We start from the raw sequence: 14985 nt of genomic DNA on the forward strand, positions 1-14985 counted from the left end.
GCAGCATTGCTTGATAAAGATTATCAACCATCAGTGTCATTTTTCAAGTGCAGAAATATATCACTATTGCTTAAGTTTAGATGATTACATTTTAGTGGTCTAAGAGGGAAACAGTTCAATTTTTCAGCTGTTCATTTATGCCAAAAAGTAGAAGGAACTTCTATTCAAAAAATATTTACTGTATATTTATTTTGTGACAACAAAGACATTATGTCAGACATTGTGCTAAGATGCTTATGTTAGCCTAAATCTCCAAGATTCTATTAATGCAATAACTTCAAATAGAGGTTTTCATAATGCACATCAGTAACGCTCCATTGTATAGCCATTGCAATCTGATGCCAGCAATTTCTCTAGCCCCGTCTTCTACCCTTCTTTCCTTCACTCTGGCCACACTGGCCTCCCAGCTGTTCCTAGGACATTCCAAACACATTCTGGCCTTGGGGTCTTTGCACTCATAATTCACTCTGGCTGGATCATCTTCCCCTAGATATTCCTATGCAACGTGCTTCATTCCTCCAGGTTTCTGTTCAAATATAGCCTCGTAACAGAGGATTTGCATGACATTTTATAAAATAGCACCTCTACCCACATGGTTTCAATCTCCCTTAAAGCCTACTTTATTTTTTTTGTCACATAGCACTCATTGCAAACTACCATGGTCTATATTTGATTCCTGTTTGTTTTCTCTTTCTAAGATATAATCTCTATAAAGTCAAAGAGTTTGTTTTCTTCATGCTAAATCCCATATCCCATACCAGACAACAGTGGTGTTGTAGTCAGCACTCTAAATATTCCTTAAATTGATGAATGAATAAATTAATTAATTTTAAGGCATTAGAGTAAAAATAGAGTTTCTCATCAAAAAAAGAAAATTCTTTGTCTAAATCAAGAGAAACATGCTTGTGTAAGAGGTCTTCGAGAGTTGCTAGGGTGCAGATGTACGTGATGAATCTGGGTTAACAATTTTCATGCAAGGGCTACAGATAGTGTACTTTAGGAAACTGGCCCAAAACTTGTGGAGTTATCATGAGAATTGACAACAATGCAGTCTCACGATACTTGTCCTTTTCTACTATCAAAGAGAATACTGGATTTTATTAAAATTATGGGATTGAACCAGCAATTACTCCTTTGTGAATTTGTTCTTAAGGGCAAGGATATTGATTAATTCATTTTCCATCTGCAGGGTTTAACAGACCCCATAATGTACCTGAGGCAGTGTGAAAAGTTAAAACTCTCAGTGAACTTTTAAAAAGCACTTTATTGGTATTTAGCACATTTTGAATTGACCTCAGTGCTTCAAAGGTCAATGCCACTCTCAAAGTGATTAAAGGTATTTCCATGCATAATGAAGTATCATGAAAGTGACAAGAGGCAAGCAGCCCTGTGCCTTTTGAAATGACTAGAAAATCAAGTAAGTACAGCATAGTGCTAAAATAAGATTCCAATTTAGGAGTCAAAACTTCTTGGTAATTGAAAAAGCCAACAACATTCTTAGAAACATTGAACTGTTTCTAAGAATATTCTATATTTTGATCTGGATTGTTATATGGTTGATTACATTACATTGAGTCAAGATCCGCCCAGATGTACACTTTGACTTGTGCGTTCAATACATATTATACCCCAGTAAAATACTATTAGCAATAAGGAGAAAGTCTTTCTTTCAAATCTCTAGAAATCTTGTAAACAGTTTATTTTTCTGTAATAATTGACTATCTTAGATTAGCTCTCTAAAAAAAGACAAATCCAAAACATTTTCCAAAAGACAAAGACAAAAATCTCAAAATACCTACAATCCTATTAAGGGTTTGGCATATATAGGAAAATGAAAAGGACTGGATTGAGTTTGTGGAAAATTGAACTAGAAAATATTTTAAAGGCTGTAGATAACATAGTTAAAACATTATGAAGAAGAAACTATTCAGCTACCTTTAGTAAATAACTATATGCACTTTATAGAGAAATGGATGCTATTCAAGTATTTTAAAAGAACCTAACCTCATTAACCAGGTCAGCCCATTTGCAAGTTGGCTATCAAGATCAATTCAAGTGTGAGCTAAAGCTTGACACAGGTCCATAAATGAAATGAAAAAAAAATTTTTTTAATCTACCACAATTGCATCAAAGTGCTTGTTTCTTTTTAAAAATCAAATGATTCCTTTTTTTAAGAAGGCAGTTGATTACAAGTTTTAGAATTAATTTATTTTTAACTCAAAGAAAATTTTATATATAGCATTGTTTTACTGTGGGTTTTCCCCTCAACTTACAAAAGCAATACTTGTTCATCATAATTATTTTGAAAGTTTAGGAAAAAAATGTTTAAACTTGGGGAAAAAATATCTCACAATTCAACCACCAAATGGTGATCTCTACAAATACCCAGATGAATCTCCCTTTAGTCCTTCCAAGTATTCCATTTAGGAGGCTGAGACTATGTTTGTAAGCATGATTTTTATTCTAACATTCATCCTAAACTCTATCATGTCTCATTAAAATCTCTTTGCATGGTGCATACACCATGATTTGCTTAATTATTGTCCTAATGTCGAAATATCACTTTGGGGGGCTGAGGCAGTAGGACCAATTGAGCCCAGGAGTTTGAGAACAGCCTGGGTAACATAGTGACACCCTGTCTCTACAAGAAAAAATAAATAATTAGCTGGGTAGGGTAGTGCACGCCTATAGACACAGCTCCTTGGGAGGCTGAGGTGGGAGGATTACCTGAGCCCAAGAGGTGAAGGCTGCAGTGAGCCATGATCATGCCACTGCACTCCAGCCTGGGCGACGGAGACCCTGTCTCAAAATAAAAATAATTTAAGAAAGAAATATCTTTGTGCATAAATATGTATCTGCGTTTGGATTATTTCCATAGTATCTATTCTTAGAAGTGGAATTACTAAGGTATGAATACTGTGAAAGCTCTTGATACATGTTGCCAAATTGTTTTCCGGAAAGTTTATACTAATTTACACTTCCATTAGCATTATTTGAGTGCTTTTTTTCCACTTTACCTATGCCAGAATTGAAATTTATCACTTTAATTTTTGCTAACTTCATGGAACAGAAATAAGATTTTTTTTCTTAGTGAAAGTGTTGAATCCACTTTTTTAAAGTGACTATTTAAAGTAACAATTTTGGCTGAGTGCCTGTGGCTCACAACTGTGATCCCAGTGGTTTAGGGGGCTGACTTGGGAGGATTGCTTGAGGCCAAGAGTTTGAGACAGTGAGACTCTGTCTCTACAACAACAACAACAAAATTAATAATAATAAAGTGACAGCTTCATTTCTTCTTCTAATGATTTATGTCTTTTGTTAATTTATCTTTTGAGTTTTAGTACTTTTAAATTTTGTTGATTTGACGAGCTCTTTTATTTTACATATTAGAAATAATAACTGGTAATATGGTAGTAAGTGTTTAACAATCAGCAATCAGTTCTTTTCTAGGGGAAAAGAGAGCCTGGTTTGTAGTATTTTCCTATTTCTATGGTGTAAATACTCCTATGATTTCAAACAACCAGCAAGATGACACTGTACACAAAGATGAGAAGAGATGTATACAATCCACTTTCACATACGGCTCCAGGCTGCTTGCAGTACATCACTGAAACCCTTGGCAATAGTATATGTTACAAATGTTTTTTCAGTTTGCTTTTTCTATCTTAATTGTATTTACAGTGTCTTTACAAGTTTTACACAAAGGTAAATATTCAAGTATTTTGCTTTGTAATTTCTCTCATTATTGCAGTCCTCCCACCTTCATCTGTGGTTTCACTTTCTGTGATTTCAAAAGTTTACAGAAATATTAAATGGAAGATCCCAGAACCAAGTAATTCATAAGTGTTCAATCGTGTGCTGTTCTGAGTAGCGGGATGAAATTTTGCACATCCTGTTTCATCCCACCCATGGTGTGAATCATCCCTTTGTCCAGCACATTCACACTGTCAATACTCTCTGCCCATTAGTCACTCAGTAGCCTGTTGGTTACCAGATCAACTGTTCAGATGAGGTATCACAGTGCTCATGTTCAGGTAACCCTTATTTTACTTAATAATTCCCCAAAGCACAAAAGTAGTGATGCTGGCAATTCCACTATGGCAAGGAGAAGCCGTAAAGAGCTTTCTTCAGGGAAAAGGTTGAAGTTCTTGACTTAATAAGGAAAAAAAAAATTGTATGCTGAGTTTGCTAAAATCTATGGTAAGAACAAATCTTCTATCCATGAAATTGTGACAAAGGAAAAATAAATTCATGCTAGTTTTGCTGTCGCACTTCAAGCTACAAGAGTTACAGCCACAGTGTGTACGATATTATAGTACATTGTTATAATAGTTCTATTTTTAGATATTGTTAATCTCTTACTGATAAATAACTTTATCATAGGTATGTATGTATAGGGAGAAACAATATATATAGGGTTCAGTACTATATGAGGTTTTGGGCATCCACTGGGGGTCTTAGAACGTATCCCCCTTGGATAAGAGGAGACTACTGTACTTCTAAGACTAGAAAGTTCCTCATTCAAAGACAAAATAATCTCCTCAATTATCTGTGACTTTTATGGCTTAATTTAAAAAATATTTTAGATCTATTTTTTTCTGAAATCTATAATGATATATGACATGAGGTAAGGATCTAAATTAATTATTTTCTGAGTAATTAGAGCCCCCAGCCCACTTGTGAAATTACTCCCCCATTGATTTATGAATTGCATATAGAGTATATTCCTTTCCTACACTTACCAAGGTCTTCATGACATTACAGGTAGCTATATACCTTTACTACACTGATTTACTTATCCTTATTTTAGAAAATATTTTAGCATATAGTAGAGTAAGTTTCCTTTCATCACTGTCTTTACCAAAACAGAAAACAAAATACCTGCATACATGCAAAAAGATAAAACCAAACTCTAGTTAGTGTTTTTGACACTTTTACATCTTCAATTAAGGCTTCATTTGCCCTTGGGTTGTCTCAATCCCAGTTAAAAAATGAGCAAGAGTCTGTCTGTGGTCTTTGAAATTCTTGTAATTTATTTGCTATAAAAATTCTTCCTTTCCTAGTAAAATTCATAACCATAGTTTAAACATAATTTAGGACTTTGTCAAATATAATACTTAAACTGGAATGTCTCCCCAAGTAACAGATTTGTGTTTTTCAAAGGCCTACACAGAACTCTCACTTTTTTTCTTAGTAAATACCAATTTCTTATATGTCTTCACTCTACATTGGAATTTATTTGAATGTCAAGTATAATACAATTTTTTTCTATGGACAAGCAGAATTTTTTTAAATTTTTTAAATCAATACTTATAAATGGGTACAAAAAGTTAAAAACCATGGTTCTTGGGACCACTAGCCTGGTGGTACAAGAAAGTCAGTTCTATTTCCAGAACACCAAAACACAATAAAGATGTGACTAACAACACTCATGGACAAAATCTGGACACAAATGAGCCAGAAATCTCTCATATTCTCTAAAAAATCTAGATAAACTCTTTTTCATTGTGTATGAATCAGGTTGATTCAGACTTGCTTGCGCTGTGTTAACTTCATTGTGGTTCTGGTTCAATCCATAAAAAATCTTGCCTGATGCAATATTGAAAAAAATCCTTTTCCAAACTTATGGCACCAATTGTGAAATACATTTTTGTGAAAAGCTTTTATGTCAGTGATGGCCAACGGCAACCCATGACCATATCAACACAATGCATGTTCTGTTTGGTCCATATATGGTTTACAAAAGATCTTGAATAATATGCCAATATTGTTAATTTGAGCAATTTCATATAAAATCTGGATTTCTAGCTTCCTTTAAAACACTATTGAGACATCTTCCCCACCTGGCAATAATCACCTAGAATCAAACCACTGCTGCTTCCCTCAGATAAATTAGCAGAGATCACTTCTCTCTGAGATAGGACTCTCTCACTCATGCACACCATCAGCCTAATTACAAAATGCATTCATTTAGGTAACCCCTGCTTTAAATGATGTTTCCTTATCATGTGTGATGGGAAATTAATGGGAAATTTGACTCAAAATTACAGATTTTAGAAGACCAAATAAGAGCTCGAGATCAGGCGGCCACAGGAACTAACTTTGCAGTACACGAGATAAACATCAAACACCTACAAGGAGTTGGAGATCTTCGAGGAAGAGTAGCCAGGTGAGAAGAAGCATGTTGACTAATGTTTAACAGTGAATTCTTGGCCAGTGAATTCGCATTCCTAAACAAGCTCCATGCTGTGGAAAAAAGATATTGTCTACACATTAAGCTAAACTAATGAGATGGCATTTGAGAAAGTGTACCATAGAACTTTCAATGCCTCACGCTAGCGGTGAGATTCAAAGTTTCTGTAAAGACCCCTTACACAGTTTGATTCCAATGGAAGCGACCAAAGTTCTGTCTTTGCAGCCTCAACCGTCCAAATGCCAACATCCATACATAGACGCACCTTCATAACCATGTACGAAATCCCCATATGTGTCAAATGCGAATGAGTAAAACATTTAAAATATACAAGAATTATAATAGTCTAATGGGATTTACTGCCAAATGGATAAAGTTTTGAATAACATCTTTTGTACAAGATTTCTAAATCAAAAGAATTGATGGTATGCAGTTCAGCAAATATGTGTAGGTATTGAGAATGGCAGGACCACTCTGGCAGACACATCAAAGATGACTTGTGAATGGCTGACTGTGGACACCTTTCCATCTCTACATCTTCTGCCAGTACCTCATTCCTCTCTCCTGAAATACTCCCATCTCCATCTGGTTAATCCTCTCGGAATTAGATAATTACTACCTAAGAATTAGATAATTACTACCTAAGACAAAGCTCTCTTAGGGTATTTACCCATTTAATTCAACAAAAATGTATTAAGCACTCATCTTATGCCAGGCCGTGTAATGTTAGAATTCAGCAACATGGTCTCCTTTCTATAGCTGTTTACAGTCTACCAGGAAAAACAAGCTGTATCAATAACCAATACAGTGAATGCTGTACTAAAAGTCTGGGATGCTATGGAAATGTCCAAATCAGACCCACACAGAAGAGAGGCTTCCCAGGGGAAGTGACACTTGAGCTGAGTTTTGAAGGATTTATAACAGTTAACTAGACAAGGAAAAGTGAGAAAGACAATTTACCTGGAAGAATAATATGTGCAAAAGAACTGAGGGAAGGATCACTGTGACATGTTCATGGGCCTACCTGGGAGAATGGCATTTTGGTTATGGTATTTTGGAGAAGGCATTTTGAGAAAGTTGGGACAGGAAGCCAGAGAAGCAGTCCAGACCTGGAGGATGAGGGGTCTTGTAGGCTAAGGTAAAGAGTTCGAACTTTATGTAGAAGGTTATAAATGACCATGGGGGGATTTTAAGTAAGGGGGTGGCATATCATATTTTGTGACATTCTAGTTGCAGTGAATTGGTAGAATACAAAAAAAGGTTGTGGAGATCAGAGGAAGGCTATTGTACCAATCCAGGTGAGAAGTGGCAGGGCCTAAACCAAGGCACTAGCCATGAAAGCCCAGAGTAGGGGACAGACAACACAGACATTAGAGAAATAGAATCTACAGGATTACTGCATGAATAAACATGGAGGATGAATTAAGCAGGGGGAGGTCAAGGATAGTGACCAAAGTTTCTGGGCTTGGAGACTGGTTGAATACTCATGTCATGCCACAGAGAAGAAAATATGAAACAAGGAGCAATTATAACAAGGAAGTGGAAAGAGAAACAGAGTAATAAAATGTTTGGCTTCCACCATGTTGTGTATGAGACGCCATCAGAATATTAGCTGGAATGGGCATGGAGCTCAAAAGGGGAGGAAGGGAGGAGGTGTCAGGGATGCCCAAGTTTCTGGTTGGCCCACAACATAAATGACTTTGTGGCTTTGGGAAAGACTTGAAAGACTTTGTAGTTCTGGAGTGTGACTTCATTTCTGTTAAAAATAAAAGATGCCGTCTTGGAAATAATACATATGGTTGAAAAACACTCATCCAAGGAAAAAATAACTGTCAGCCAGTCCAGAGAATAAACAGGTGAATTTATATTATATATTAATATATAAATAAATAATATATAGAAATATTTATTTCATTAATATTTTATCAATACCAAAGAAGTTTTATAACATTTGGGTAAGTTATGAAACAAGATAACAAAACAAATATCAGCAAACCCACAACCCTATTTAGATGTGCCAAGATTCTGCAAAGAAGATAAAACCAAACATGGTTTCTTTGTTTGTTTCTTTTTCGAGACAGAGTCTCGCTCTGTCACCCAAGCTGGAGTGCAGTGGCGCGATCTTGGCTCACTGCAGCCTCTGCCTCCCAGGTTCAAACAATTATCATGCCTCAGCCTCCTGAGTGCCTGGGATTACAGGTGCACGCCACCATGACTGGCTAATTTCAAACATGTTTTAAATGAAATATAATTTGGTTCAATTTGGTGGTATGCTGATGACACTCCTACCAACTATTTCTTTCTGCAAACCACTTACAAACCAATTATTTTATTTTTGTAAACCCTGTTTTATTTACAAGACAAAATAGCAAATGGATCTCAAAGAAACTAAGAGATCAATGAAATTACATCAAGATACGCAATTCTTTTTGCTCTGCTTGCGTTTTGCTTACCTTCCCCTTCAATCAAAAGCAGTGATTTTAGGACAAGGTCTTATTTTTCCTTGAAATGTCTCCCTTTTATGGAAAATTTCTGAAATCTATTTGGCAATCTGAGACAGAATTTGGCTAACGGCCATGAGACTTAAATTCACCCTCCCTCTCCTGTTTCTTTTCTGTGCCTTTGCCAGGCAAATGACTAATGTACAAGCTAAGGCAGATTGATTACTGTCTTTCCACATAGAGGGACCTCTATTCCAATGAGCATTTTGGCATAAGTAAAATTGATTGTTTTAACATAATTACTAGCAAACATTTTACTGCTCCATAAATCAGTCTCAATATTTAATAACTACAATGAGATTTGAATTTTACACTTTATTTCCCATGGCAATACATTGCAGTTTAAAAGTAAGTCCTCCCAATGAGATGAGGCTCCCAAAGTTGCCAGCCTGCTTTTGATACCCTGTCCTTTATTTAATAGACTAGGGGCTTGCGTGGGTCATCAGAGAGAGAGGTCACGTCCCCTTAGAGATTCAGGTGAAGTGCAAAAAAGGAAAAGGCGAGCATGGGAAGGGCACCCCTAGGGATGGATATGACTTACAATCCGTAGCCGCAGTCAGAGGCGAACTCTCTAGCCCCATTTGGCTCTTTAGGACTCCAGAACAAACCTGCATGTGGGTAAAAAAAAAAAAAAAAAAAAAGATAAATTTTGTTGATTTGTGATTAAAAGCAAAATCATGTTCTTTAAAGAAACATAATAATGTGGATATTATGACAGGCCTGGTCAGAGAGGGCAGAATAAAAACCTCTTATTCCACTCCTCTTACTTGAGACAACTCAATGCCAGTGAAAAATAAAAGAAGGAAAACAAAAAACTCCATCTTTAATATAATATGGAAGTTGCTGTAACCACTGACCACAAACAGAGCACACTTACCAAATATTGTGACATTTGGACTGATACAGTCCTTCTCAGATTTAAACATAATGATTTTCCACTAGTCAACAGTCATAATTTTGAGAGACATTGGCAAAATGGAATCAAGCAGCATTACTTAGAGGCTCGGGTGGGTCATCGGAGAAAGACAACATGTCCCCTTAGAGATTCAGGTCAGCAACACCAAACAGCCGGGAGGTATAGCCAAGGATGCAACCGTGTTCTTTATCATTTCTATCATCTAGGACCTCCCTCCTTGCCCGCTTATACCTGAGAGAAACTGGCTGAAGTGCGACAGGCTGAGGAAGGAGAGAGATTTGATACTGCAAGCCTGAATAGAGGATGCTATCTACCAGCCACCAAACACACTCACTGATCCTCTGCAGGTAGCAGAAACATTCAAAGACATAATAGTTATTGTTAGAATGCAGTCATGCATATGAATCACTTCCACTATCATCCCCAGATAGACAGAAGACAGACAGATAGATGATAGACAGACAGACAGATAATAGATACATAAAACATAAGCAAAAGACTAGTGAATACACTTCATGAAGGAACTGCCCAGAAAAGTATAGGAAGAGTTCAAGCCAAAAGTTCTCCCGGTTTCAACGAAATTAAGAACAAAAGACAAAGAATTTAAAAAAAAAAAAAAAAAGGATTACTTGTGAACAGTCACATGTAATTTGGCCCTTCCAAAAGCCCCATTGAATCTACAGTAAAAAGATTTTCTCTTTAAAATATAAACCCATAAGGACCAGGGATACCAGCATAGAAGTCTTGGAACCTAGAAAGCAGATGGAAACATGAAAACTGCCTTAGCAGAATGAAAGCCAATTTTCAAGTTGTAGGATAAGCTGAGAACAACCTAACTTTATGCAACAGAATTTTCAAAAGGCTTCAGGCCCTTGCCACTAGGGAGAGGAACTGAGAGAGGCAGTGAGAGGAAGGGTCAGAAACCACTGTAGTTTATTATTAGCTTATTAACTTTCAAATTACAGGCATCTTTTACTTTGATAAAATAAATAATAATTTTAAAAGTAAGGTATAAAAACATTTCCCTCCAAAAGAGACTATCAGATAACAAAAGGAGATAGATAGACTGGAATTGCTCGGGATAGATGAAAGAAAAAGTCAAGATACTATGAAGATTAATCTACTTTAGAAGCTCTTAAAATAGAACAAATGCAACCAAAAATAATGAGTTATAAAAAGTAAAAACATGAGTAAACCACACCAAATGAAAAGAGATAGTTACTTTTCAATATAAAAATGATTGTAGAAAAATTGTCGTATGACAGGCAAGGAAAACTCATCCAATATAGAACTAATAGAAGGCCCTGAAGAAGAAACAGAACGAATTCTTCAAAAAAAAAAAAATCATGCCTATAAGAGAAGAAAGTGTTCTTGAAATACAGATGTGAATCTATAGATTAAAAGGAAAAACTGTGACCATGGAAAAAATGATATAAGAACAATGAAACCAAGATATCCTGGTTGAAGTTGCTGAACAATAAGGATAAAGACTGCAACGAGCATCCAGGTAGACAAAGCAAGTCTCATAAAAAAGGAAAGAAATGTCATCACCTCAGACTTCTCCACCTCAACCAATGCTAGAAAAGAATGGATTGATGTTTATCATGTTCTGAAAGAAAGAAAAAAAATGTTATCTCAACTAAGTTACCTTTCAATCACAAGAGAAGTCAGGTATTCTCAAGCACTCAAGAACTTGAGAATTCTAGTACTCCTGAGCCCTGCTTTTAAAATCTGGATGACAAAATCTGGCCAACCATGGAATAAATCAAAATAAGGATCTTAGAAAAGAAATCATGGTTTGAAAGGATTATCAATGAACATCTAATCTACATATAAAGTGAACATTAAATAACCATAGACATTCTAGTGACAGAACACAGTGCAAATGTCATAAAATTTAACATTTTAAAATTAGCAAATTTTTTTTTAAATGTTGAAGGCACAAGTATATAAACTTATTTATTTTCTTATTTTTTGGCATATGGTCAACAGATAATATCTAAAGTTGGTATTGAGATGGTAGCTGTGACAAGTATAACAATTCCAATCTATGATAGCTTTTTATAGATTCTTTTTTTTAGAAATCTCTCTCATAGTGAAGAAATACATATCTGAAACTCAACAATTTCTTCATTTCTCACTACATTTATCTTTTCTTAGGTTAAAGTAAAATTAAATGTAATATTTTAAAGTTGATGCATATAATATAATCCCAGTATTCTAAATTATGTTTTCTTCCTATCTCTGTGTGTATATATATATATATATATATATATATATGTACACATATATTTTAAGTATATATGTATAATGATGAACAGAATGATAACCAAATATTAATAATGTTACTTTTTAAAAGGGATTTGGAAAGAGCTTAACTTTCCTCTTTGTTCTTTGAGGCATGATATGAAATTTTTTCTAATGGTGATGTACTATTTTAACAGAAACAATAAAATCATTCTAAAGGAGGAGGAGGCAGAGGAACTCCTTTTGGAATGTAGAGTGCAGCTTTGAAAAGCCATGAATCAATCCTTGACTTCAACATGTGGGATTAGGCTAGTGGGTGGTGGTTAGGGGAGGTGAAAATGAATAGGCGGCAACTCTCAAGTTGAGTAAATAAATCATATCTGCTAATCTTATGTGGGTACTCCCCGTGTCAGGCACTGGCTAAATGCTTTGCGTGCATCACCTCCTTCCATCCCTAAATAACCTACAAAGTAACACTATTCAGGACAGCCACTTACAGTTTTGAAGGTTGCGCACTCCAGGAGACATTATTCGCATTGTCAATCACGTGTTTCTGGCACTCCTGGAGTCGTGTGGTAGACAAGTTGTACAACTGTATGCAGTGACCATGGCATCATTTCCCCTTTTTTTCAGATGAGGAAAACTGAAATCTGTAGGCATTAAGAAGCTTGTCCCAGGCCGGGCGCGGTGGCTCACGCCTGTAATCCCAGCACTTTGGGAGGCTGAGGCGGGCCGATCACGAGGTCAGGAGCTCGAGACCATCCTGGCTAAGACGGTGAAACCCCGTCTCTACTAAAAATACAAAAAAATTAGCCAGGCGTGGTGGCGCATGCCTGTAGTCCTAGCTACTCGGGAGGGTGAGGCAGGAGAATGGCGTGAACCTGGGAGGCGGAGCTTGCAGTGAGCCGAGATTGTGCCACTGCACTCCAGCCTGGGCGATAGAGCAAGACTCCGTCTCAAAAAAAAGAAAAGAAGCTTTTCCCAGATCATAAACCTAGGAAGTAGCAGAAGCATGGTCTATCTGACACCAGAAACCACATTTTTAACCAGTAGCCTCCACTGCACAGACCCTGCTGTCCCTGAGGGTGGGAAACAAAAGAAGGATAGAAGGGAGATGGCAGGAAGTGGTGGTAGCAGCAGCCACTCCTGAGCAGTCTTTGGGGGTCTTAATATGGACTCACATCAGGACATTCTAACTAACCAACAATAGAGGTGCCATTCTGACAATGACAGTTTGTATATGCAAAGGTGTAAAACATCTTTTGATCAGGAATTTTGTGCGTACCATCCTGCTCCCATTCTTGATCAGACTAATTCCTAATTTTTTCTCCCAGCAGCTTCTTCACCCCCACTACAACCATTTTTAAGGGTGATACTAAAGGGATACCTTTAGTATCTTTTTAAAGAAATGCTCAGGCAAAATTGCCATCTTAACTCACCTTTGCCTCAAATCTTTTGCACCAAAAACTTTAAGGAAAAAAGATTCATTCTGGGATCCTAAAAATGTTGACATCATAAAGCAAACAATATTTATATCACTTAGCATAATAATATGAAAATGTATTTCCTAATTAATATTATTTGATGACAGTCAAAACAGTTATTTTATAAAAGTGACAAATATCAAAATAATCCTTGATAACTCAGATATACAAAAGATAAAGTCCTTCAGTGCTCTTCAACCTATCCTTCATGCATATGTGAAAGTATACAGAAACTGACCATTAATACACTGTGCAACCTGCTGTCCCCCAAGAGAGTCACGGGTAACAGTTGTGGGGGTGTGGTTCTGTGTGTTATCTTTCCTAACATACTGGGAAGATAATCTTCAGCTTACCTCACTAGCTCCTTCTCACCAGAATTCCTTCCCTAAATTATCACATGCAACTTTATGGACCAAAGTTTCATTCATATGTTAGTGTGAATTGGTTTTGTCCTAATATGACAGTGCCTGACTGAGACCATTCAAGGAACAGGAGTTTTGTTTGAGGCTAAAACGGTGAGAAATTGGAGAAGATGGATTGGAAGATTTTGATTTGCTGGGACACCTTTTCTTGCCAACGGAGAATTGATAGTCTGGGGGCCAAGAAAAGAGGATAAAGAGAGGAAAGTGGATTTAGAACATGATATATAAGAGGAGCAAATTTTAATTTTGCCTAACCATAGGCAGCAGCGTATATTTCCAAAACATCAAAATTTGCTATAACTCCTATGACTAAGTTAATATCAAGCTGAAAATGTAAAAATTCCCTCAATTTACCACAATATCCCCATGTAAACTATTTCAAGTTGGTGCTCTGGTTTGAGCCAATGCATTCAACCTGGTTTCTCTCTCATCAGAAAGAGAAGGGAAAAATGAAGAAAGAGATTCCTGAATACACTCCTATATCTACCAACTCATTCTTCAAATGACTTTAGAACTTTGGCCATCAAATGAATGTGCAGGTGTCTACTATAGTGTTAAAAATGTTATAAAGGTATTGATCCACACCAATTTCCATCTTGCCATTAGATGTGATTCAAGCATTGTGAAGCTTTCTGGAGACATTCACTTATTCAGGCAAGAGCACCGGCAAATTGAGAAAGCCATTCAAGAATTCGTGCCCGCCCTGGAAACTCTTTCCAAGAACTTGGACATGAAGGTAATTGAAAATAGATGGGACTCATATTACGTGTTACTGCCAGAAGTAAGATCATTATAGCTTATCAAAATGCCCAATCAGGTGGTAATTTTTTAAGAGAACTCTTTTCTTCCAAAGGGTGTAATTCTGACAGCTCACTCATATACGCCATGGAAACAGTCAATTCAATCAACAAATGTTTAATGAATGTCTGCCGTGTTCCAACACAGCCATCTACTCTAAGCATGCACTGCTTGAGTCCACCATTGCTGTTATTTTTTTACTCTCTGGAAGTAGTAAAATTATTTTTACTCAAGGACTATGGAACCAAGGAATATAAACAAAAGAACTTCCCATGGAAGCTATTATTATTAAAAGTCCAACATAAATGTGAATTGTTCATGTTACATCCCACTTAAAGCCCTGCAATGGGTTGTATCTCTTACAAAATAACATGTAAGTCCTTTGGTTGGTCTGGATTTTAAAGGCCATCTGTGCTTCTTGACT

The 14985-nt window shown here is 36.4% G+C and overlaps 1 protein-coding gene across 7 annotated transcripts in view; it reads left to right on the forward strand.

Moving 5' to 3' along the window:
* Nucleotides 1–14985, forward strand: part of FAM81B (family with sequence similarity 81 member B) — a 59076-nt gene that overhangs the window by 22868 nt on the left and 21223 nt on the right. For 4 of the 7 annotated variants that reach the window (NM_152548.3, XM_011543207.2, XM_047416821.1 and 1 more), the window contains 2 exons: nt 6051–6169; nt 14370–14499. In NM_152548.3, coding sequence (NP_689761.2) covers nt 6051–6169; nt 14370–14499 — 249 coding nt within the window. Of the gene's footprint in view, nt 1–6050; nt 6170–9816; nt 9958–14369; nt 14500–14985 lie in introns of those variants that run through there. The other 3 variants (XM_047416823.1, XM_047416822.1, XM_011543210.3) reach the window with 3 other exon arrangements.

This window comes from Homo sapiens, chromosome 5, assembly GCF_000001405.40.
Source record: "Homo sapiens chromosome 5, GRCh38.p14 Primary Assembly".
Classification (NCBI taxonomy): Eukaryota; Metazoa; Chordata; class Mammalia; order Primates; family Hominidae; genus Homo; species Homo sapiens.